General features: G+C 44.4%; 1 protein-coding gene across 25 annotated transcripts in view, besides 3 other annotated features; it reads left to right on the forward strand.

Moving 5' to 3' along the window:
- PHC1 (polyhomeotic homolog 1) overlaps positions 1-24,252 on the forward strand; it is a 27,625-nt gene continuing 3,373 nt past the window's right edge. For 2 of the 25 annotated variants that reach the window (NR_182209.1, NM_001413738.1), the window contains exons 1-14: positions 1-108; positions 3,788-3,949; positions 5,914-6,024; positions 7,143-7,223; positions 7,759-7,908; positions 8,791-8,946; positions 16,593-17,085; positions 18,721-19,508; positions 20,023-20,170; positions 20,425-20,636; positions 21,282-21,396; positions 23,014-23,122; positions 23,334-23,484; positions 23,987-24,218. Coding sequence is in view for 24 of the 25 variants with exons in the window: in NM_001413738.1 (NP_001400667.1) it covers positions 3,836-3,949; positions 5,914-6,024; positions 7,143-7,223; positions 7,759-7,908; positions 8,791-8,946; positions 16,593-17,085; positions 18,721-19,508; positions 20,023-20,170; positions 20,425-20,636; positions 21,282-21,396; positions 23,014-23,122; positions 23,334-23,484; positions 23,987-24,218 (2,860 nt within the window). In the remaining variant the exon portion in view is untranslated. Of the gene's footprint in view, positions 109-666; positions 986-1,094; positions 1,686-1,762; positions 2,228-3,787; positions 3,950-5,913; positions 6,076-7,142; positions 7,224-7,758; positions 7,909-8,790; positions 8,947-16,592; positions 17,086-18,720; positions 19,509-20,022; positions 20,171-20,424; positions 20,637-21,281; positions 21,397-23,013; positions 23,123-23,333; positions 23,485-23,986; positions 24,219-24,252 lie in introns of those variants that run through there. The other 23 variants (NM_001413744.1, NM_001413745.1, NM_001413746.1 and 20 more) reach the window with 23 other exon arrangements.
- Positions 549-658: a silencer, noted in NCBI's record as "silent region_4218". NCBI's record gives its function as "represses an Ori minimal core promoter by ATAC-STARR-seq in GM12878 lymphoblastoid cells {active_cell/tissue: GM12878}" and the evidence as "EXISTENCE:reporter gene assay evidence [ECO:0000049][PMID:35858748]".
- Positions 709-758: a silencer, noted in NCBI's record as "silent region_4219". NCBI's record gives its function as "represses an Ori minimal core promoter by ATAC-STARR-seq in GM12878 lymphoblastoid cells {active_cell/tissue: GM12878}" and the evidence as "EXISTENCE:reporter gene assay evidence [ECO:0000049][PMID:35858748]".
- Positions 829-1,118: a silencer, noted in NCBI's record as "silent region_4220". NCBI's record gives its function as "represses an Ori minimal core promoter by ATAC-STARR-seq in GM12878 lymphoblastoid cells {active_cell/tissue: GM12878}" and the evidence as "EXISTENCE:reporter gene assay evidence [ECO:0000049][PMID:35858748]".

Raw genomic sequence — 24,252 nt, forward strand, 5'->3', positions numbered from 1 at the left:
AAATGCTATCCAAAGGAAGTTACATTAGGTTGCTGCTTTGAAAATGAAGTCAACTCCTAATGGGTTAGCTGTTTCTGCAGCATTCTTTCCCGCCTTCTTGGAGTTGAGGTGAGGGATTAAACAATCAACCTTCTCTCTCCTTTCTCTCATTCTCAAAGTTTTTCTCGCCTTTTCCTTCCTTTCCTTTGCTTCATTTCTTTTCCCAGTCTATCGTTTCTCTAGGGGTCGTTGCTTTGCTCTTTCTCCCTCTCTGTCTGTTGGTCCCTTTGATCCTTTCTTTCTACCCCTTATTCCCAGCAGCTCCAGAAAATACCTTCTTTCTCCCCGTCTCACGTCACTTCCCTCCCTTCTCCCATCTCCCTCTCCTCTCCGAGAGGTGCGTTCCCCACTAGAGGCCAGCACTTTCTTAGTTTCGTCCTTCCAACCGGCGAGCAGAACTCGGAGAGAAAGAAGGGGGTAAAAAAGAGGAGAAAGAGAGCAAGAGAGGAAAAAACCCCTGGGCCTGGAGCGCAGAGGCCCGGGAGCTGCGTCGCCATGGCAACGGGCGCCGGCAGGAAACGAGGGACGCGCGGGAGGGAGGGGGCGGAGGGCGCCGAGGGGAGGCGGAGGGACGGCGGGGGGGGGGTCCGGCTGCCCCGGAAGCACCTCCCCGCAGCCCCCTCCTCCAGCCCGGCCCGCAGCCCCTGGCCTGCGGCCCCCACCTTCTCGGCCGGGCAGGAAGTGACAGGCCCGGAGCGAGCCCCGGAGGCCTGGCTGAGCCGCGGCCGGGCCCGCACCCGGAGCGGCGGGAGGGGCGGGGAGCCGCGGTCGCGCCGGGCGCCTCCCACCCCGCCCTCGGCGCCCCCGCCCCTCCAGGAAGGGGAGGAGGCGAGGGGAGCCCGCCGCGGAGGCCGAGCGAGCCCCCAGCCCAGCCTGGCGACTGGGGACCCCGGCACATGAGGTGGACGCCCCCGGGGAAGACTTGGGTGCACAGCCAGGCGAGAAGGTAACCGGGCGACCGAGGGCCGGGGAGGGGCAGGACCTCTGGGGGCTTGGCTGCGCGGGGATGTATCCTCAGCCACCTCCATCTGTGTAACGCCCCAGGTACCTCCCCCAGTTGCTTTCCCTGCCTACCTCCGGCGCTGAGCTCTGCGGTCCTTCGGCTCTGCCTGTCCGAGTCTTCTGGCTATTCATTCTGCTGCGCTTCATGCTGTCTGTCCGTCACCCTAGCTGCCTCTGACTGCTCATTTTCTTATTCATTTTTCCTTCTCTGACTTTGGTCCTTCCAGCCGAGCATGCTGTCTAGTTATCTCCCTGCTTTCGTGGTCCGCTGGGTTCCTCAGCCTCCAGTTCCTTGACTTCTGCCTCTGCTCTCTGTATGCACATGTCCCAGCTCACTTGGGTCAGTTCATTCCCGGCGCACCACTGGATCCACCCCCTTCCCCCAGTGTATTTGATTTCTCTTTGAAACATCATTTTCATCAAGGTTCTATATAGAACGAGGACCCTTGGGCGTCTACTCCCTGTTCTCTTGATTATTACCGTGTCTTTGGCACAGTCTTCCCTGAACCACCCCCTTCTCCCGTCCCCCTTCCTATGTCCCATCCTTTCTGCATGATAAGAGTTTCGTGCTTAGGGATATTGACTTTCTCCAACTCTCGGCCCAATGCTAAGTCCACCTCAATGTCCCATTCTAACTCCCTTCGGTAGGTCTGTGCGCCTACCCAACCCCATGTATGCCCACATGCTACCTTTTAAGATGACCATGGCTTAGCTACTCTGGGGGCATCTGTGGATCAGCTTCTCACTGTCTTCCAGTTTAATTTGGAAAATTTTGATACCTGGTGCTGCCCAAACTGTTTGTTGTCTCCATTTTTTATATTTAATCTTGTAGTCATAATGTTGATCACAAATGAATACATTTATGTGCCCGGGATCCAGGAATCCTGGTTTTGGTGGCAGTTTCCCTTGATTTTATTGAGACTTTTAAGTTGGTCCCTTTACATTTTTATTTCTAGTTCACAATCCAAAAAAAATTATTAATCAGAATTCAGGTTTGGGAAGACGAGGGGTCATACGGTTTGTATTTTCACATGTGAATGTAGGAATTATGTTCTCTATACCTAGCAAAGGGGTCTCGTGTCTCTGAGTCCAGTGAACTAAATCCAGTAATCTATAAAACTGTGCCGTGCTGCCTCTAATCCTTACCCACTTTTTTTCTTCACATGCTGATAATGAGGATTCATGGGTCTGTATCTGTTTAGTGCTTTGATATTTTGGCAAAAGATGTGGGGAGAAGGTAGACTAGTTGAAGCTGATATGATTTTTCCTATGTACTTTTTGGGTAATATACATGTTTGCAGTGACATTTGCTAGTCCTAAATGAAACTAAAGACTGGGGGGGGATAATAGTGTGATTGGATGATACTGGGAATGAGATAATAAGAAATATCCTCAGCTTTATTGCCAAGGCCAAGCAGTTTGATACTTTGCTTGTTTGTTTGTTTTGGATGCAATCCCTAAGACCAGTCCATTCACCCTAATGAAACTGTTGACAACACTTAGCAGAAATTCTGGTTTGATGTTTATATTCTTAAGCCAGATAATATTTTGGTGACCTGATATTTCTAGTGGCCCAGTGCCTCAGAAGTAGAGAAAATAGTGTGTAGCTTAACAAAAGAGAAAAACAAAAAAAAAGAATGAGTAAAAACCTTATTGTCATTTAGTGCTGCTTTGGAAGAATATTTCTTCTTCTCATCTCCTGCCTCTTTGCTTGGTTCTTAGCAGTGTTTTCATATGTGTCTTTTTGCAAATGTAAGTGTAGTCCCCAGTGGGTAAATTCTGACATGTTAGTAGATTATAAAGTTGCATCTTACTTTCTTGAAGATTTTCATTGTGTGTATTTCTATGTTTCATACTCCGGAGTCATTTCTTAAAATGATATATTACATTCAGTATGAAGCCTCCTTTGCAGTGAGGAAACAGGTATAAGGAAGGAAAGCAACATGCCTGAGGTGTTATTAGTAGCCTGAGCTGGAACCAGGCAGCTATTTGGGCTATGTGGGCTGTAGGTGAGCTCTTCTGCTTCCTAGTTTTATGACCTTCCATGACCCACTGAATGTGTCTGTATCTTAAGGTCCTCCTCCATAAAATGAGGATAACTACTCACTATCATAGTGAATGACACTGCCTTAATTACAGTTTGGTTTGAAGAAGCATGTGTTAGTCCAAAGACTTGATACTTACTAGGGCAACTTCTTTAACCTCAGAAAACCTTATGTCTCAAATTGTAGAATGAGGATAACAGTGTTGACTTTACAGCACTACTATGAGAGAGATACAGCATAGGTGAAGTGCCTAGCCCAGTGAAAGGAGGCAACTAGTGGCTCTCCAGTATATGGTGACTCATTTGGATGATAACGATGCAGATGGAGACAAAAATGAGATAACCAAAACTTTTAAGTGGAAAGATTTTAAACTGTTAAAAAATGCTATGGGAATGTAAGGTAACTTTGGTATTGTAAGGTGCCATCTCACATTCTGGCCGTTTTATTTAATGACAGCCATGAGGGAATACGTAAAGGTTGTTTCTTTTGAGACTGCATAGCTTCAAAAGATGGTAGTATTGGGAAGACATGGTTGCAAGAGTGTATTGAAGATTTGGGAGTTTTAAGATGAGAAATCATGGCTTATGGAAGAGGAGGAAGATTCTTAGATACTTATGGATTTCCTGTGTTTTTGAATAATAACATGAGATAACAGCTTGGGATCAAGATATAAATTTTAACCTTTTACTGCTTCCCTCTAGGTCTTGAGTCAGACAGAGCACCAGCCTTGGGGACCCTGGACCACTATCATGGAGACTGAGAGCGAGCAGAACTCCAATTCCACCAATGGGAGTTCTAGCTCAGGGGGCAGCTCTCGGCCCCAGATAGCTCAAATGTCACTTTATGAACGACAAGCAGTGCAGGTGAGACTCAGCTCTGAGGGGCCATGGTCTGTGAGTCTTGGCTTGTGGTAGGCAGTGATGCTGGAAAATAATTGTACTCAGTTCTTTTTCAACAAACTGGGGAGAGTTGGGTTAGATGATGACTAAGCTGTCTTCCAGCTCTGAGAATCTTAGGAGTTTACAAATGTTTAGGCAAGCAAACAGTGAAATCTGGTCTTTCAAATAAGGATTTAAAAAACACATTCAGTCCATCTAGCTAGATTCTAACTAACCCTTTCTCATACTGGATTGCCAGGTTTTTAATCTTTGGCCATTCTTGTAAATCCCCTTGAGTAATAGAAGTATCATGGAACTCTTTAGAGATTTATTTTTAAACAAACAGCAAATTCCATGTTTTTATTAATTCTGTTAGGAAATGAGGTCTTTTAGCAAATATTTTGGTTACTAGAATAACTATACATATCATAAAAATAGTTCTAATTATTAAAGAATAAGAATACAGTAAAGTCCAGTTAGCACTAAAACCAAACTACTATTTTCATTTCATAAATCTGTATTAGCATACTGATATGTAAAAATGCCAATTAGTTGAATTCGTTGAAAATTTTACGTGAAGGAATCTTTAGAAGCCACTATTTATTTTTTCATTATTTCCAACCCATTAGGGCTGTATTACCTTTACTGTATACCTAAAATATACTTTTACATTTTCTTCTTTTTTTTTTGAGACAAGGTCTAGCTCTGTTGCCCTGGCTGGAGTGCAGTGGTGCGATCAGTGCTCACTGCAGCCTCAGACTCCCAGTTCTCCTATCTTATCCTCCTGACTAGCTGGGACTATAGGCACACTCCACCATGCCCAGCTTTTTTTCTTATTTTCTTTACATTAATCGGCATTTTGTTTATTTTCACCCGATCTAGTCTTTGCTATGGCATGTATTTCCAGCTCCCAATTGGAGAAACAAGTTTGTATAAATTGCACTGCTTTACTTTTCTTAACATCCTATGGAGAATAAACCATAGAATTACATTCACGCGTCACTTAATGACAGGAACGCGTTTTGAGAAATGTATTGTTGGACGATTTTGTAATTGCGTGACTGTCATAGAGCGCACTTACACACACCCAGATTATGTAGCCTACTCCGTACCTAGGTTATACAGTATAGGCTGTTACTCTGACCACTCCTGTGTATGTAGTCTGCCATTGACCAAACAGTGGATATGTGGTGCATGGCTGTAATTGTTTCTTCCGGTTTTTAAAGGACTATATAGACTTACTGAGGCAGAAGGATCTCTCTGTTTTTTTGAGATGGAGTTTCGCTCCTGTTGCCCAGGCTGCAGTGCAATGGCGCAATCTCATCTCACTGCAACCTCTGCCTCCCAGGTTCAAGCAATTCTCCTACCTCAGCCTCCCTAGTAGTTGGGATTACAGGCGCCCACCACCACGCCCAGCTAATTTTTTGTATTTTTAGTAGAGGCGGAGTTTCACCATGTTGGCCAGGCTGGTCTTGAACTCCCGACCTCAGGTGATCTGCCCTCCTAGGCCTCCCAAAGTGCTGGGATTACAGGCAGGAGCCACCACGCCTGGCTCAGAAAGATCTCTTGAGGCCAGGAGTTCAAGACCAGCCTGGGTAACATAGCAAGACCCCATCTCTAAAAATAAAAAAAATTAGCTGGACATGGTGGTGCATACCTATAGTCCTAGCTACTTGGGAGGTTGAGGCAGTCAGGAGGATTATTTGAGCCTAGGAGTTTGAGGTTACAGTAAACTATGATCACGCCACTGTGCTCCAGCCTGGTGATAGAGCAGGTTGACTTTGCTCTAAAAAAATGAAGGAAAATCAGCCGTTGACGATTTAGCCCAAACTCCCATCTCCTCTGGTTTCTGTCCTTCCCATGGCCCCCTTTCACACAAATACAGTGATTTACATAGAATAGGAGCTAGGAGTGGTCCATTCTAAATGTTTTATCCTCTCTTTTCCTAGGCTCTGCAAGCACTGCAGCGGCAGCCCAATGCAGCTCAGTATTTCCACCAGTTCATGCTCCAGCAGCAGCTCAGTAATGCCCAGCTGCATAGCCTGGCTGCCGTCCAGCAGGTGAGAGGTCAGCAGCCAGCTGGCCCGAGAGGGAGGGGACAGGCACTACAGGTGGGTAGGGGAGATTTTTTGGGCATATAGCATCCTATACTAAGCCAGGCTGCAGACAGCCTCCTCCGCCTCCTGTCCTTCTGTGGGAGGATGGATGCATCTTAGCTTCTGGGGTTGCAGTAAGAACCGTAAAATCACTTTTTAGGTATAGAGTGGCTGTGTTATAGACCTGCATTGTCTAATAACGTAGTCACTAGCCACATATCGCTATTGAGTGCTTGAAATGTGGCTAGTCTAAATGGAGACGTCCTATAAGATTTTAGAGTTAGACTACTTAGTACAAAAAAAGGTAAAATATCAGTAATTTAAAAATATTAATTACATGTGAAGTGATATTTTATATTGGGCTAAATAAAATAAATTATGAAAGTTAACTTTTCCTGTTTTACTTTTTAAAACTTTGCATAGTAGAAAATTATAAATGTGGTTCATATTATATTTATATTGGATACCTCTGGACTAGACTTTTACTGACTCATGATATGACCTGACCAAAAGATCTTTTTCTAGCTGGGCGTGGTGGCTTACGCCTGTAATGCCAGCACTTTGGGAGGCTGAGGCAGGTGGATCACTTGAGGTCAGGAGTTCAAGACCAGCCTGGCCTATATGGTGAAACTCATTCTTTACTAAAAATACAAAAATTAGCTGGGCGTGGTGGTGTGCACCTGTGATCCTAGCTACTCTGGAGGCTGAGGCAGGAGAATCGCTCAAACCTGGGAGGCGGAGGTTGCAGTGAGCGGAGATCATGCCACTGCACTCCAGCCTGGGTGAAAGAGCGAGACTCCTTCTCAAAAAAAATACCATCTTTTTCCACCTAAAAGAGAGTGGGAGCTGGAGGACAAGTTGCCTCTCTGCCCCAGGAGGGTTATGTGGGGCTAATTGGTTAGCATATGTGGTAATGTGAGGATCACTGGACTAGTGAATATACTTTTCTTTACCCTAAAGTGGAATCTCCCTGTTTATAATGTGAAATCTCTATGTTTTGTGCTTGTGATTTATTACTAGAAGACTGAGAGCTTTTTCCTTCACTGTCTTTGCTATTTCTTGTTTCCCTTCCCCTTTAATAGGCCACAATTGCTGCCAGTCGGCAGGCCAGCTCCCCAAACACCAGCACTACACAGCAGCAGACTACCACCACCCAGGCCTCGGTGAGTACGCCCTCTCCCACTGAGAGGCTTCTCTACCTGGGTCTTTGTCTCTGGGTTAAATTACTTTGTGCCGCTGATCTGAGAGTGTTTATTGAGCCGTCAGTGGATAGTTACTGCTTTTAAGTAGAGAATAGTAGTACAAGGGGAAAGTAACCAACATTAATCTATATTGGAGTCTCTAAAGAGGAAGTCTAAGGAAGAGAGGAAAGAAAATCCTGGGGAAGAAGAGGAGATAACAAAGAAGGGGACTAATCCCTGGACTCTTCAATGAGAAGTAAAATCTGTTCTGTTTCAATCTTTTGTCTTCTCAACTGTTAACACTAGTGGTTAGAGACTGTTGGTTTTTTTTCACTTTGGTAATACCCTAAAGTAGCCAGGATGACAGTTTTGGATATGAAGACATTATTTATTTCCCCCGGCTCCATGAAAGTGAAATACTCTGTTCTTGACTGTGTGACTCTGAATTTGTCAGTCACGTACCTTTCCTTTTACTTCTCCCAAATCCTTAGTCCTGGTTCCTTTCTGTACCACACAGATCAATCTGGCCACCACATCGGCCGCCCAGCTCATCAGCCGATCCCAGAGTGTGAGCTCTCCCAGTGCTACCACCTTGACCCAATCTGTGCTACTGGGGAACACCACCTCCCCACCCCTCAACCAGTCTCAGGCCCAGATGTATCTACGGGTAAGCCACAGATGCAGTCACCATTGCCCCAGAGGCATAATTGTCTGGCCCTGGCAAAGACTTGAGTGAAAGCTTTTTTTTGAGACAGAATCTCGCTATGTCACCCAGGCTGGAGTGCAGTGGCACAATAATGGCTCACTGCAGCCTCTGCCTCCCAGGTTCCAGCGATTCTCCTGCCTCAGCCTCCCAGGTAGCTGGGATTACAGGCATGCACCACTATACCTGGCTAATTTTTGTATTTTTAGTAGAGACGGGGTTTCACCATGTTGGCCAGGCTGGTCTGGAACTCCTGACCTCAGGTGATCCACCCGCCTCGGCCTCCCAAAGTGCTAGGATTACAGGCGTGAACCACCGCGCCCGGCCAAAAGCCATTTTTTTAAACCATGGTAACCCTGATGTTTTGAGAGAAGCTGGGACCTACTTCCCATACTTTACTTAACCTGGAAGTGATGTTCTGTGTTCACAGGTAGCCTATAGATTAAATTGAGATATTATGCTAGAAAATACTGGCTTAACATTTGACTAAATTAGTGTTAGATATAGTCGACCTTTAAACCTGTGGCTCAAGTATACAAATTCTGTGTTATCGCTCAGCCTACCTACTTTCTATATATAAGTACTTGTTCTAAAATCCTAATTTTCTCTATTTCTTTGACGTGTGACTCTTGGACATCAATCTGTAGTTTTCTATGCATTCTAGGTTTTCTTCTGGATGGTTCATTACATGTGGAGAATATGAGGCTCCTGGGTTGGTGTGGAAGAGGCAGGGCTCAGCTGTTTAATATCTTCTGTTTATTTTGTCTTGTGGTCCTTCCTTTCCATCTCTTCTGTCTCTTCTTTCCCTCTTGTCCTCTTTGCTCTTCCTCTTCCTCTCCTTGCCAGCCACAGCTGGGAAACCTATTGCAGGTAAACCGAACCCTGGGTCGGAATGTGCCTCTAGCCTCCCAACTCATCCTGATGCCTAATGGGGCGGTGGCTGCAGTCCAGCAGGAGGTGCCATCTGCTCAGTCTCCTGGAGTTCATGCAGATGCAGATCAGGTTAGTGGCGATGACTTTACCTGTGGGTGGGCACTGGGCAGGATGAAGGGAATGACCACGGACCTGGGTCCACCCTTCTGCCCCATTACACTTTTCAGAATTCTTACTTTTTGTGTTTTGTTTTTCCTTCCCTTAATCACCATAGAACTTGAATCCCATATAACCTTTGAGTTAATCTGAGTTAGAAAGACAAGGAGATTTGCCTGAAAATAGTCTTGTGGATCTGGGAAGTCTTATTTTCAAGATAGGGTAAATTTCCTCACCATCCTTCTAGTCCTCTGTGGGTTTGTTTTATTCGGAGAGTCTTAATTCTCTCATAGTACTGTCAGAAGAGAAGAGATTGTTGAGAGAATTCTTCTGTTAGTTAGATGTAAAGCTGACCTGGCTGAGTTACTGGAGGAATGTTTGGTTGCTTCTGTTTGTGAGTTACTCTAGTTCTCAACTTTCAGTCTTCTCTTCCTGTTCACTGTTTTTTCCCAGTAAAGGTCTTCCTCACCATTACTTCTCATGACTTATTCCCAAAATACATGTATTTTTGAGCCTGGAATTTTAGCTTCTTATAGATGGGACACAACCTAGGATCTTACGATAATTATTTCATCCTTTTAGTTTATTTATCAGTAAGCTGGTAAATGTTGAGTTCTTCCTTCATGTACTTTTGGCCCTCCCTGTTTATGGGTTTCATACCTGTAGGTTCTGCATCTCTGGCTTCCACATCTGCAGATACAACCAACTGCAGATTGAAAATATTTGGGAAAGGCCGGGCGCGGTGGCTCACGCCTGTAATCCCAGCACTTTGGGAGGCCGAGGCGGGTGGATCACGAGGTCAGGAGATCGAGACCATCCTGGCTAACATGGTGAAACCCCGTCTCTACTAAAAAAATACAAAAAATTAGCCAGGCGTGGTGGTGGGTGCTTGTAGTCCCAACTACCTGGGAGGCTGAGGCCCGAGAATGGCATGAACCCGGGAGGCGGAGCTTGCAGTAAGCCGAGATCATGCCACTGTGCCCCAGCCTGGGCGACAGAGCGAGACTCCGTCTCAAAAAAAAAAAAAAAAAGAAAATATTTGGGCAAAAAAACAATTAAAAATAACAATACAAGAACAAAAAATAATACAAAAATACAGCATCGTGTAACCATTTACATAGTACTTACATTGTATTAGATATTATAAGTAATAGAGGTGATTTAAAGTGTATGGGAAGATGTGCTATGTGCACAGATGATGTGCAAACACTGCTCTGTTTTATAAAAGGGACTTGAGTGTCTGCAGACTTTGATGTCCATGAGCCTGGAACTAATCCCCTGTGGATACCAAGGAACAATTGTATTAGAAATTTTGCAGGATTAAAAAATAAATGTGAGTCAGGTCTTCAAAGAGCTTAGACAATGAAAGTGCTAAATTAGGCTGGGCATGGTGGCTCACTCTTGTAATCTCAGCACTTTGGGAGGCTGAGGAGGGTGGATCACCTGAGGTCAGGAGTTCAAGACCAGCCTGACCAATATGGTGAAACCCTGTCTCTACTAAAAATACAAAAATTAGCCGGGCATGGTGGTGTGTGCCTGTAGTTCCACCTACAGGGAGGTTGAGACAGAAGAATTGCTTGAATCTGGGAGGTGGAGGTTGCAGTGAGCTGAGATCGTGCCACTACACTCCAGCCTGGGCGACAGAGTGAGACTCCGTCTCCAAAACAAAAAGAAAGTGCTAAACTAAATGGTGCTAACTTTGAGTGACACATGAGTTTGGAAAAGAATTGGTTACATTACTTTGCAATGCCTTATTGGGATACTTGAGCAGAGTCTTGGACGAGTGGATTTGATTTGGAGTGAGAAGAAAACTAGAGAGAGAACAGCAAGCGTAAGAGTATAGTCATATATTTAAATACGAGTATGTGTGGTAGGCGTTGGAGATGAGGGGATAAATAAAATAGAATCAACAGGCATGATGATAGAAGAGGTCATTGCTGGGGTAGAGCATATAAAGGAGGTTGTAGTTAACTTCATAGGTCACAGGGATCATTGCTAGCTATTGAACAGCAGATTAACAAGATGAGGAAAGTACTTAGGAAGAACTATAGGGAGAATAACTGTTCTAACAGTTCCTGGAGAAGAGAAGTTAGGGAACTTGCTAAGAAACTCTTGTGGTCATCTAGCTGTAAGGCAAGTCTTTGTTTTAGACTCTGGTGATAGCAATGGGAGCCACGAGTGAGGTTGGTTCCATTTCCATATCCAGTTCTTTGATTTATCCGCTCATTCATTCATCAGATATTTGAGTGTCAATATGTGGAGGAACAGAGGGCAGTAGTTAAAAATACGCATCTGATGGGTCAGATTCCAGCTCCACTACTTACTGTGTGACCCTGTGCAAATGATCTGACATCTTTCTGTTATCGTTTTTTTCATCTGTAAAATAGGTATTGTAATATACCTACCTCAGGATGTGTTGTGAGGACTAAGTGAGTTGCTGCGTTTGACTGCTTGAAGAATGCCTGGACGTAGTGAGTGTTTAGGAGAAACTACTGCTATTAATATATCAAACATTCCTTAGCGTTGGATGCCCAAGAAAGTCACGATCACTGCATTTGTGGAGCTCACAGACCATTGAAACACCAGACATTAAACTGATAGTCACCTGAATGGGGAAATAATTGAGAAAGTACCGAGTGTTCTGAGAATTTAGAAAGGGACCTAACTTAGCTTTGGCATGGGGTGTAAAAGTCAAGGAGGTGACATTTAACTTGGGGTGTGTAGAAGTTAGCCAGATAAGAATGTGGAAGGAGAGTGTTGGAGGCAGGAGAACAGTGTGTCCAAAGGTCCTGAGGAGGGCAGGAACTTGATTTGTTAGAGGAATTAAAAGTCTTGTATTCTTGGAGTTTGGCATAGTGGGGCTAGACGGGTAGGAGGAACCTTATCTTTCAGGGCTTTGGGGGCTGTGTTTAGGATTTTGGGCTTTTTATAAAAAGCAATTGGAAGCTATAGAAGGATTTTAAATATGGAAGTGTCATAGAGAGATTTGGATGTATTTTTGTTTTGTTTTGCTTTTTAAATACCATGTTGATTTCCTCTTTGGAGACTAAACGGATATGGTGTGAGTGTGACTGTAGGGAGAATAACTGTTCTAACAGTTTAAGGGACAGACGATGTTCATACTGGGGGTAGCAATGGAGATGGACAGAAATGCATAGATTTGAGGATAACTTAGAAGAATCATTGAAGAGGGTGAACTAATTTAGTAGATGGGGGAATTAAAGGAGATGCCAGATAGGAAATCTGTGGGGTGGCTGGTGGTGCTGTTTATGAGACGAAGAATGTAGGAGTGTATTTAGAGTGACGTTCAGTTTTGGACATGCAGACCTAATTAGAAGTGTTTGTGAGCCATCCATGAGGAGATACTGAGACTGCAGTTTTATTATGTGGTTCTTGAGCTCAGAGGAGAGGTCTGGGTTGGAGATAAACATTTGAGAGTAGTAGGCATATAGATGATAATTGAAGTCCCCCATCTACTAAATTAGTTTACTCTCCTCAGTCTTTAAAATTGCCTGGAGAGGCCGGGCACAGTGGCTCATGCCTATAATCCCAGCACTTTGGGAGGCCGAGGCGGGCGGATCACCTGAGATCAGGAGTTTGAGACCAACCTGGGCAGCGTAGTCAAACTCTGTCTCTACTAAACATACAAAAAAAATTAGCCGGGTGTGGTGGTGCATGCCCATAGCCCCAGTTAACTTGGGAGGCTGAGGAAGGAGAATCACTTGAACCTGGGAGGTGGAGGTTGCAGTGAGCCAAGATCGTGCCACTGCACTCCAGCCTGGTCAACAGAGGAGACTCCATCTTAAAAAAAAAGGCCAGCGCTGTGGCTCATGCCTGTAATCCCAGCACTTTGGGAGGCTGAGGCGGGTGGATCACCCGAGGTCAGGAGTTCGAGACCATCCAGCCTGATCAACATGGTGAAACCCCGTCTCTACTAAAAATAACAAACATTAGCTGGGCGTGGTGGCACATCCCTGTAATCCCAGTTACTTGGGAGGCTGAGGCAGGAGAATCACTTGAACCTGGGAGGCGGAGGTTGCAGTGAGCCGAGATCGCGCCGTTGTACTCCAGCCTGGGCAACGAGGGCGAAACTCCATCTTAAAAAAAAAAATGTTTGGGGAGATAGTACAGGTTGAGGAGAGGAACGTTTAATATGGGGCCCTGAGGTAGGATGAACCCCCACTTTGGAAAAGCAGTTCAAGGTCGACAGAGGGTCGTGGGCTGACAGAGGCGAATGGGAAAGAGCAGCAGATAGGAAAATCTGGACTGTAGTGTCACGAAGGCAAGGGAACCAAATGTTACAAGATGTGCATGTGTGCATGCGCGCATGCGTGGGCAGGGGGCATCTCTTTCTAATGTAGAGAGAGAAAGAAAGATGGTTTTATTAACAGGGAGGGAGAGTTGTTTCAGTTGTTTGGGGGGTGGTGAATCCAAAGTAGTATGAGTTTGAGGGGTGTGAATGGCTGGTGGGAATGAATACAGTGACTGTAAACAGCTATTAAGAGTTTAGCAGCACCAGGAAAGGAAGGTGGAACTGGGGAGGGGAATGTGCAGTTCCTACATGGTGATGAGGGAGCCAGTGGAGAAGAAGTGGAAGAGGAGGCAGTGGATATTATATGCTGCTTGAGATGGCAGGAGGAGGTGGAATATAGAGTGCAGAGAAGGACTGATTGCCTTTTGATAGGAAGAGGAGAGAAGGGGGAAATGATGGGTGTGTATGCAGATAAATGTATAGATTCGGTGGTGGAACTGATGAAGCAATGCTCATATAATGGTTTTTGTTTTCTCTGAAGAGGTGAAGAGTAGGAGGAGAAAGAGAAGGTAGTCTGAGGTATAGGGAGAGAGTGGGAAAGTTTGAAATAGCCATTATGGAAATGAAGCTGATTGGAAAAACTGTATATTAATAATTGCCAGATAATATTATGTGCTCTAGCACCCAATCCTGATGATTCTTGTCAATATCTCTCAAAAGCCATCAACTCTTTACTGCTCCTGCCTGAATTCAGGTTTTTATTATTTTAACCTGTACTGTACTAGTTTTCTTTCTTTCTTTCTTTCTTTCTTTCTTTCTTTCTTTCTTTCTTTCTTTCTTTCTTTCTTTTTTTTTTTTTTTGAGACAGAGTCTCTGTTGCTCAGGCTGGAGTGCTGTGGTGTGATCTCGGCTCACTGCAACTTCTGCCTTCTGGGTTCAAGCGATTCTTGTACCTCAGCCTCCTGAGTAGCTTGATTACAGGCGCGTGCCACTATGCCCAGCTAATGTTTTGTATTTTTAGTAGAAGACGGGGTTTCTCCATGTTGCTCCTGCTGGTCTGGAACTCCTGAGCTCAGGCAGTCTGCCCACCTTGGTCTCCCAAAGTGCTAGGATTATAGGCGTGAGCCACTGCACCGGCCTATTGTACTAGATTTCTACATGGTCTTCTTCACTTCAGTCTTAACCTACTTGTAGTTCTTTTCCACATTACTATCAGGAAACTTTTACTATGTTTTTTTAAATAAGAAAATATATGTTGTTACTACTAATTTTTTAATCGTACTTCTGGTACACAGAATTTGATAAAATTGTAATCCTTGGATCATGACACTCTCTCACTGTTGGTCTCGTCATAACCTGTTAAAATTTATTTACTCTGTAATTTTTAATAATGTAATAAGCAGTGTGCAGTTCCGTCTACTGCCTTCCATTACCCACAGTAACGAGCCTTCTGATTTCTAAGTCCATTCTTCCCTCGGGTCCTTTTTTATATGGTTTTATTGCATCTCTCTATGTTTCTAAAATGCCCTTTTTATTATAGAAAATTTTAAAGGTACACAAAAACAGAAAAAGTATGAATTCCTGTGTACTTACCATCCAGCTTCAACAATTATCGACACATGACCAATGCATTCAGGCCCTTCTCTGCCTGTGGAATATTTTGAAGCAAACCCCAGACACCATGTATATATTTTAATTGTATTGAAATGTGTAAGGTACTCGTGCTGTATGTACACTTTTGGAGAGTGCTTTCTTAATAACATTGTCACGATCCATTTGTTTTGTTGCAGTCATTGGAGTTTATTAATTGTAGTTTCTATATACTATTCCATTGTATGAATATACTATAGTTTATTCATCTTCTCTTCTGTAGATGGCCCTTTGAGTTGATTCCAGGTCGTGGTTGCTAATGAATAATGCCACCATGAACATTCCTACACATGCCTCCTGTGGTACATGGCAAGAGTTTGTCTTGTGGAATTCCTGGGTTAGAGGGTGTGTGAATGTTCAACTTTAGGATATGATAACAAATATTTTCTAAAATAGGAAGTGTATTGATTTATACTTCAATCAGAAATGTATAAATGTATAAGTGAATGTTTATTTTGATTAATAAGCTTTATTGGCTTCCTATAATCAGTTAAGCAGACATCATTCTTTCCCTTTATCCATATTTTGGAGTACTGACTATGTGCCGGAACTGTGAAGGTGCTAGCAATATAACAATGAATAAGACAGATAAACTTGCTGTTCCCAAACTAAAGTTCAGATTCCTTGTTTCAATACACCAGGCCCTTACTGGCCCAGCACCTTCCTACCTCCTTATCCACAGCCTGCCTTCCTTGCTTTATTTCTTTCCATTCCTTGTAACTCTCCCCAAACATAATGAAATATTTATAATTTCTAAAAATACAGTCTTTTTAGAAATTATACATTTTTTTTAATAATATTTTAAAATAATGTCTTTTTTTTTTTTTCTGGACAGGGTCTCACTCTGTTACCCAGGCTGGAGTGCAGTGGCGTGATCTCAGCTCACTGCAGTCTCTGCCTCCCAGGCTCAAGTGATCCTTTCACCTTGGCCTCCTGAGTAGCTGGGACTACAGGTGTTTGCCACCATACCTGGCTAATTTTCTGTATTTTTTTGTAGAGGCAGTGTTGCCCAGGCTGTTCTCGAACTCCTGAACTCAAGCAGTCTGTCCGTCTTGGCCTCCCAAAGTGTTGGGATTACAGGCATGAGTCATAGCGCCCAGCCTAAATAATAATCCTTTTTTGGTTCTGGCCTTGCAAATGCTGTTATCAATATCTTTAAACCCCCACCTTCACCATTACCTACTGAGTGTCACATCAGTATCACTTGTTTTAGGAAGCCCTTCCTTGATCTCCCTAGTCTTAGTTGATATTCCTTCTCTGTACTCCTATGGTACTGGGTGCATATCTATACATCTTATTATGTCATAAGTGATAATTTTCTTGTCTTCTGTAGTAGAAAGTAATCATTAAGAGCAGAGACTGTGTCTTTCCTCTGCATTTCCAGTATCCAGTGTAGTACCTGAAGCATAGTAGGTTTTTGGGAGGTGCTGAATGATTGAATGGCGAGGAAAGGGATAATTGAAGAGATATTTTGAAGGAATAAAAGACCACACTTGATGATAAACTTGCTAGTGAGTGAAGATGGCTGAAGAATCAGATACAGAGCCAGAGTTCCTCCTTAGGAGGTAGGAAGGCCTTAAAGTATATGGTAAAGGCAGAGATACGAGCTGAGGTATTCTGTGGAATACGACACAATAGCAGTCCTGGCTGCTTTTGAATCTTTAACCTTAATGCCTCCAGTCCTCCTTTTCTCAATCTGTTTTTTCGTATCTTTCAGGTTCAGAACTTGGCAGTAAGGAATCAACAGGCCTCAGCTCAAGGACCTCAGATGCAAGGCTCCACTCAGAAGGCCATTCCTCCAGGAGCCTCCCCTGTCTCTAGCCTCTCCCAGGCCTCTAGCCAGGCCCTAGCGGTGGCACAGGCTTCCTCTGGGGCCACAAACCAGTCCCTCAACCTTAGTCAAGCTGGTGGAGGCAGTGGGAATAGCATCCCAGGGTCCATGGGTCCAGGTGGAGGTGGGCAGGCACATGGTGGTTTGGGTCAGTTGCCTTCCTCAGGAATGGGTGGTGGGAGCTGTCCCAGAAAGGGTACAGGAGTGGTGCAGCCCTTGCCTGCAGCCCAAACAGTGACTGTGAGCCAGGGCAGCCAGACAGAGGCAGAAAGTGCAGCAGCCAAGAAGGCAGAAGCAGATGGGAGTGGCCAGCAGAATGTGGGCATGAACCTGACACGGACAGCCACACCTGCGCCCAGCCAGACACTTATTAGCTCAGGTAAATTGTCATTCCTCATGTCATTATTCTCTCAGAATTCATGTGAAATTTTCCTTTTTTTCTTTTTTTGCCTTTTTTTCTTTGCCTTTTTGTTTTTTCCCCGCTTCTGTTGGTCCTTGAATAGTGGAAGGAATGGGAATAATATCAGCCTTGAACATATTAGTTCAGGGTCAGGAGGACAAGTGACAGATACAGATTTTATCTGTTTCTACCAGGCAGTAGTCAGCTTACAAGTTCCCCTGTCCGCTTTCTTAGGCTGTGAGTTCTTCAGTTTTATCACTCTGTCTATTCATTCATCACATCTTACTGAATTGCTTACTGTTTTCTAGGAATTACTGGGGATACATTTTTGAAAAGTAGATTCCCTGTCTTCATGTAACTTAGCATTTACTATAAGGGATGAATTCTCACCTCACTGTTTAATGTGGTTACTTGATCCAGTGTATAGCAGATACAGTACAATGCCTTAGAGCACTTAAGACTAATGGAGAGGCGGGGTGCGGTGGCTCAGTCCTGTAATCCCAGCACTTTGGAAGGCCAAGGCAGGTGGATCACTTGAGGTCAGAGTTTGAGACTAGCCTGGCCATCATGGTGAAACCCCGTCTCTACTAAAAATACAAAAATTAGCCGGGCGTAGTGGTTTACACCTGTAGTCCCAGCTGCTCGGGAGGCTGAAGCAGGAGAGTAGCTTGAACCCGGTTGGCAGAGGTTGCAGTGAGCTGGGATCACACCACTGCACTCCAGCCTGGGTGACAGGGCAAGACTCTGATAGTTTATACTTGCTTTCAGACTGCGGGTAAGATGTAGTTAGATGTGTGTATCTTATTTGGTCATGTTGATTTTTGCCTTTTTTTGTTTCTAGTACCTTAGTTGTTGATGTATTTAGATAATTTACTCACAAAAAAATTAAGAGTTAGTTATTACTATACTTGGTATTTATATACTCTAGCAGTTCTATTTCTAAATTGCTTTATCATCACATGCTTTGATCTCTGGACAATCTGGTACAATATGGAGAAGTAGAGTTTGTCACTCCCAGTTTACAGTGGAGGAAACTGAGTTAGGTCAGAGCTGACAGGTGCTGACTCTCAAGACTCAGATGGTGGTCTAAGCTGATGATTTGTAAAATCCAAGTCATTTGTGGGAAGACGTTGACATCTTTAACTCTGTGGGTATCTCTTCTTTCAGTGAATATTAAGTGCTTCTGCAGTGTCAGGCCCTGGGCTGTGTTTTAGGGATGTGAAAATGAATAAAACATGGATTCAGCCTTTGAGAAACTCCAAGTCTAATGGAGGAGGGGCTAACCATTCTTCTTTGCTGAGTACAGAGTAAAAGAATACAATATTTAAGTATGGCAAAGATAAGAGACACAAGAAATTACTCAGGATCTGAAATGACTGAGCAAGGGAGTTCTTTCTCTGAGATCTTTAAGACTAGTAGTAGTTGGTAATGTCTGATTGAGTGGGAAGAGTATGGACGAAGTGATGTCCAAGTTTCATACTGACTAGATTTCTTTTCACCGCATAATTCCAAAACTAGGTTATACCTTGGAAAAATGAATTTACTTTTAATTTAGAATGATTATTATTCTCTGCTCTTTTTTCTCTCTGTTGTATTCTGGGATTGTTCCTATAGCCACCTACACACAGATCCAGCCCCATTCACTGATTCAGCAACAGCAACAGATCCACCTCCAGCAGAAACAGGTGGTGATCCAGCAGCAGATTGCCATCCACCACCAGCAGCAGTTCCAGCACCGGCAGTCCCAGCTCCTTCACACAGCTACACACCTCCAGTTGGCGCAGCAGCAGCAGCAGCAACAACAGCAACAGCAGCAACAGCAGCAGCCGCAAGCCACCACCCTCACTGCCCCTCAGCCACCACAGGTCCCACCTACTCAGCAGGTCCCACCTTCCCAGTCCCAGCAGCAAGCCCAAACCCTGGTCGTTCAGCCCATGCTTCAGTCTTCACCCTTGTCTCTTCCACCTGATGCAGCCCCTAAGCCACCAATTCCCATCCAATCCAAACCACCTGTAGCACCTATCAAGCCGCCTCAGTTAGGGGCCGCTAAGATGTCAGCTGCCCAGCAACCACCACCCCATATCCCTGTGCAAGTTGTAGGCACTCGACAGCCAGGTACAGCCCAGGCACAGGCTTTGGGGTTGGCACAGCTGGCAGCTGCTGTACCTACTTCCCGGGGGATGCCAGGTACAGTGCAGTCTGGTCAGGCCCATTTGGCCTCCTCGCCACCTTCATCCCAGGCTCCTGGTGCACTGCAGGAGTGCCCTCCCACATTGGCCCCTGGGATGACCCTTGCTCCTGTGCAGGGGACAGCACATGTGGTAAAGGGTGGGGCTACCACCTCCTCACCTGTTGTAGCCCAGGTCCCTGCTGCCTTCTATATGCAGTCTGTGCACTTGCCGGTGAGTGATGTCTGATGGTTTTGAGGGCACTATTATGCATGAGAGTGGACCTGGGCTAAGTGGAAATAGAGCTTAATTGAATAGGGGAATAAAGAGTTAAGAGGGTTAATATTGGTATTTATCTGCTTCTTCTGTAAGAGAGTGACACATTATATAATATCTGAACTTTATACTCCTAAATTTGTTGCTGATACTATTCTGGGTTTTTGGGTATGTAATAAGTTAGATCAAGATAGCCTTAACCAAATCAGTCTTTGAAAAAACAACAGTTCTTGGTTGGTCTACGTGAATACAGGGTCTCAAGACCTAGGTCAGGACTAAATCATGTTACATTTTCTTTTGTCCTGATGGAAAGTTACTAGGAATGACCAGGAATTTTAGTGTACCATGGGAAGTAGATAAATTGGGAAATCTGGAACTAAGAAAATTTTCTTTGAACATATGGTAATAATTGTGGTTCCTTATTATCCTTCATTTGTACATCTTTGTTTCTTTCCTATTCTTTACGGTATAGGGTAAACCCCAGACATTGGCTGTCAAACGCAAGGCTGACTCTGAGGAGGAGAGAGATGATGTCTCCACATTGGGTTCAATGCTTCCTGCCAAGGCATCTCCAGTAGCAGAAAGCCCAAAAGTCATGGACGAGAAGAGCAGTCTTGGAGGTGAGTAACTGACTTCTAATGCTGTTGGAGAGCACACAGAGTAGAGGAATGTTCTGAGTGAGCTAAAAGATAAAACTGGTTGAGTAGAAAATGGGCCAGAAGTTGGTGGACAAATGAATAGATCCAAAAACAGGGAATCCAGGTGAATTGTCAAGGGTGGACATAGATTATTATGGAAGATCATGCTGGCTCAACTAATAGATGGATCAATATGTCATCTCATGTCTGTTGCTTAATCTGTGTTTGTTTTCCAGAAAAAGCTGAATCAGTGGCTAATGTGAATGCTAATACTCCAAGCAGTGAACTAGTAGCCTTGACCCCCGCCCCTTCAGTACCGCCTCCTACACTAGCCATGGTGTCTAGACAAATGGGTGACTCAAAACCCCCACAGGCCATCGTGAAGCCCCAGATTCTCACCCACATCATTGAAGGCTTTGTTATCCAGGAAGGAGCAGAACCTTTCCCGGTGAGGGCAGGGCCATAAGGTGGGACTTTGAAGTGGGGACTTGGTCTGATTGTTGTCTTTTCAAACTCCAGTAAAAGTAAAAGGCACAGAACTATTTAATGAAAGAATGGTTCAATTACGCTATTTATTTAATTATAAAGAAGGAAAGGGAAAAGAGTGTGTGGACCATAAAATGAAAATGTTAGGAAGAGGAGAAAAAAAGGAAGAAAGTAACCTTTAAAACTGTAATGTTTAGTTAGATAAACTAGTTTGTTTTATAATGAATAAAATTATAGTAATGAAGTTAAGGAGCTTTCCTAGGGTTTGCAGAACCAGGACTAGAACTGAGGTGTCTTGACTCCTAGTGCATTCTCAGCACCATAGGAAGGAAGAGGACAAAATAGGGAGCCAGCGTAGGAACCTGTTCTCCAATGGCTTATCTGGAAAAAAAGCCAGTTACTATTTTTTTTTTCTCATTTCCAAACATTGTATAGAGACCAGTTACTACTCTTGATTACCGTATTGAAAGTGATTCTCTCTGAACCAGACTTGGTCATTAACTCAGAGATCCAAGCAGAGACATAATTGATGGGGAAATGTTGGGGAAAGCTATAGAGAAGCAGAAGGGGATCAGGCTAACTTAACTCTCAATGTTTTCTGGGACAGGTGGGTTGTTCTCAGTTACTGAAGGAGTCTGAGAAGCCACTACAGACTGGCCTTCCGACAGGGCTGACTGAGAATCAGTCAGGTGGCCCTTTGGGAGTGGACAGCCCATCTGCTGGTGAGCATTTATTTAGAGACTCATTTGGGGGAAGGAGACTCGTGGAGATGTGTTTGAGGACTCGGTGTAAAATAGTAGTTACCTATTTATTTAAAGTAGAAATGAGGCCTGGCACAGTGGCTCATGCCTGTAATCCCAGCACTTTGGGAGGCCAAGGCAGGCATATCACCTGAGGTCAGGAGTTTGAGACCAGTCTGGCCAACATAGTGAAACCCTGTCTCTACTACAAATACAAAAATTAGCCTGGTGTGGCAGCATGCGTCTATAGTCCCAGCTACTCGGGAGGCTGAGGCGGGAGAACCACTTGAACCTGGGAGGCGGAGGTTGCAGTGAAGTGAGCTGCACGCCACCGCACTCCAGCCTGGGCGACAGAGCGAGACTCTGTCTCAAAAAAAAGTAGGAATAAAATGAAGTCTGTCTACATATAGAAACCATATTATATATCAGAGTATGTAGAATCACGGAAAAGGAATTACATAAGGTGAGGGGAATTTATCCAGCTAAAGTAATCTTTTGAATTATTATTATTATTTTTTTTTGAGACGGAGTTTCGCTCTTGTTGCCCAGGCTGGAGTGCAATGGTGGGATCTTGGCTCACCGCAACCAGTGCCTCCTGGGTTCAAGCGATTCTCCTGCCTCAGCCTCCCGAGTAACTGGGATTACAGGCATGCGCCACCACGCCTGGCTAATTTTTGTATTTTTAGTAGAGACGGGGTTTCTGCATGTTGGTCAGGCTAGTAGTCGCCAACTCCCGACCTCAGGTGATCCGCCCGCCTTGGCCTCCCAAAGTGCTGGGATTACAGGCGTGAGCCACCACGCCTGGCCCTTGAATTATTCTTTACTCTATAGATGTATTTTTTGGCCGAGTGTGATGACTCTCACCTATAATTCCAGTACTTTGGGAGGCCAAGGCCGGTGGATTTCTTGAGCTCAGGAGTTTGAGACCAGCCTGAGCAACATAGTGAAACCTTGTCTCTACAAAAAAATATAAAAATTAACTGGGCATTGTGGCACATGCTTGTAGTCCCAGCTACTTGGGAGGCCAAAGTGGGAGGATCGCTTGAGCCCGGGAGGTGGAGGTTGCAGCGATCCAAGATAGCACCACGGCACTCCAGCCCGGGTGACAGAGTGAGACTGTCTCAAAAAAATTTTTTTTTCCAAAAGATGATCTAAAATAGGACATTTATATCTTTAATTTCCAGTTCTCCTTATTCTAGATTTTATAATCTATCTTAAGGACTCTTACTGATTTTCCCACTGCTTTTGGAAATCTTTGTGGTAGAAGGATCTTATATCTTTCTAGGCATTAGTAGTTCCTCTCTCCTCAGAAATTGAATCATATCTGAAATCTAAGAGTATGAATTAGGATAAAATTAGTAAGACATCTAAAATGGAGAGAGTTCGGCTTAAGGTTAGGAAGACGTCATAAAGTTCTCAAGGGACAAGTCTTCGTGATTTTAGGTTTTGAACTTTGCGTTTTAGGGATTCTCAACTAGGTTGTGTAGGTTTTTGGGGGTGAACCCTGAGAATAATTTTAGAATCCAGCTCTGAGCCTAATGATTGCCTGAGGGGCAGCAGAAACCCATGGTGACTGTCCAGCAATACCTTGTTTTTTAGAGTTAGATAAGAAGGCGAATCTCCTGAAGTGCGAGTACTGTGGGAAGTACGCCCCCGCAGAGCAGTTTCGTGGCTCTAAGAGGTTCTGCTCCATGACTTGCGCTAAGAGGTACTCTGGGCACCCTCCTCCTTGCCCTCAGCACTGGTATCTCCATCTAATGTTACACCCCTTCCCCAGGATCGTCTCATAGCTGATATTTTATGTCTCCCTCCTTGCTTTTATTCCCTTCCCCAAATCAGCTCATAAGCAGAAATTCACATTTAGAGCAGGGTGGTCTTCTGTGGCACTATTGACATCCTATATATGCCCTGTCCTGTAGGTACAATGTGAGCTGTAGCCATCAGTTCCGGCTGAAGAGGAAAAAAATGAAAGAGTTTCAAGAAGCCAACTATGCTCGCGTTCGCAGGCGTGGACCCCGCCGCAGCTCCTCTGACATTGCCCGTGCCAAGATTCAGGGCAAGTGCCACCGGGTGAGCTGCTTGTTGTAGAGCCAGATGCCTTTAAACTGGGTCTTTTTTTCTTTCCCTGCAGGGCAATTCATTTGCCCAGGTAAGAGGGTGTGAGATGAGAACTCTGGTTTCACATTGATTGCATTACTACAAATTCCAAGAGATCCTGACCCCCTTTGTCTCCGGACCTCTTACCCAACTACTGGTTCATGTTTCCATTAATCCTTACACTGTACTTGAGTACAATTGTTAATTGTACTCAATTGTACTCAATTTCTCTCAATTGTACTTGAGAGAAAATCTAGATCAATTGTTAGGTCATGGGGAGAATCAAGGAAGTGATACAGTTTCTATTTGAAAGACTTTGAGAGTAGATTTTGGGAATTTGCAAATAAAGTGCTGCTTATTTCACATATGATAAGATGAGTTTTTCTTCTACGCCCAACCCAGGGTGGTTTGGGAAGAAAGAGAGAGGAATAAACCTTTGACACTGACCTCATTGGTTTGCTCTTTTCCCCTATAGGGTCAAGAAGACTCTAGCCGGGGTTCAGATAATTCCAGTTATGATGAAGCACTCTCTCCAACATCTCCTGGGCCTTTATCAGTAAGAGCTGGGCATGGAGAACGTGACCTGGGGAATCCCAATACAGCTCCACCTACACCGGAATTACATGGCATCAACCCTGTGTTCCTGTCCAGTAATCCCAGCCGTTGGAGTGTAGAGGAGGTGTACGAGTTTATTGCTTCTCTCCAAGGTACTGACCCTCTCTTCAACAGAACCCAGGTTGT

Source organism: Homo sapiens, chromosome 12 (genome assembly GCF_000001405.40).
Source record: "Homo sapiens chromosome 12, GRCh38.p14 Primary Assembly".
Lineage (NCBI taxonomy): Eukaryota > Metazoa > Chordata > Mammalia > Primates > Hominidae > Homo > Homo sapiens.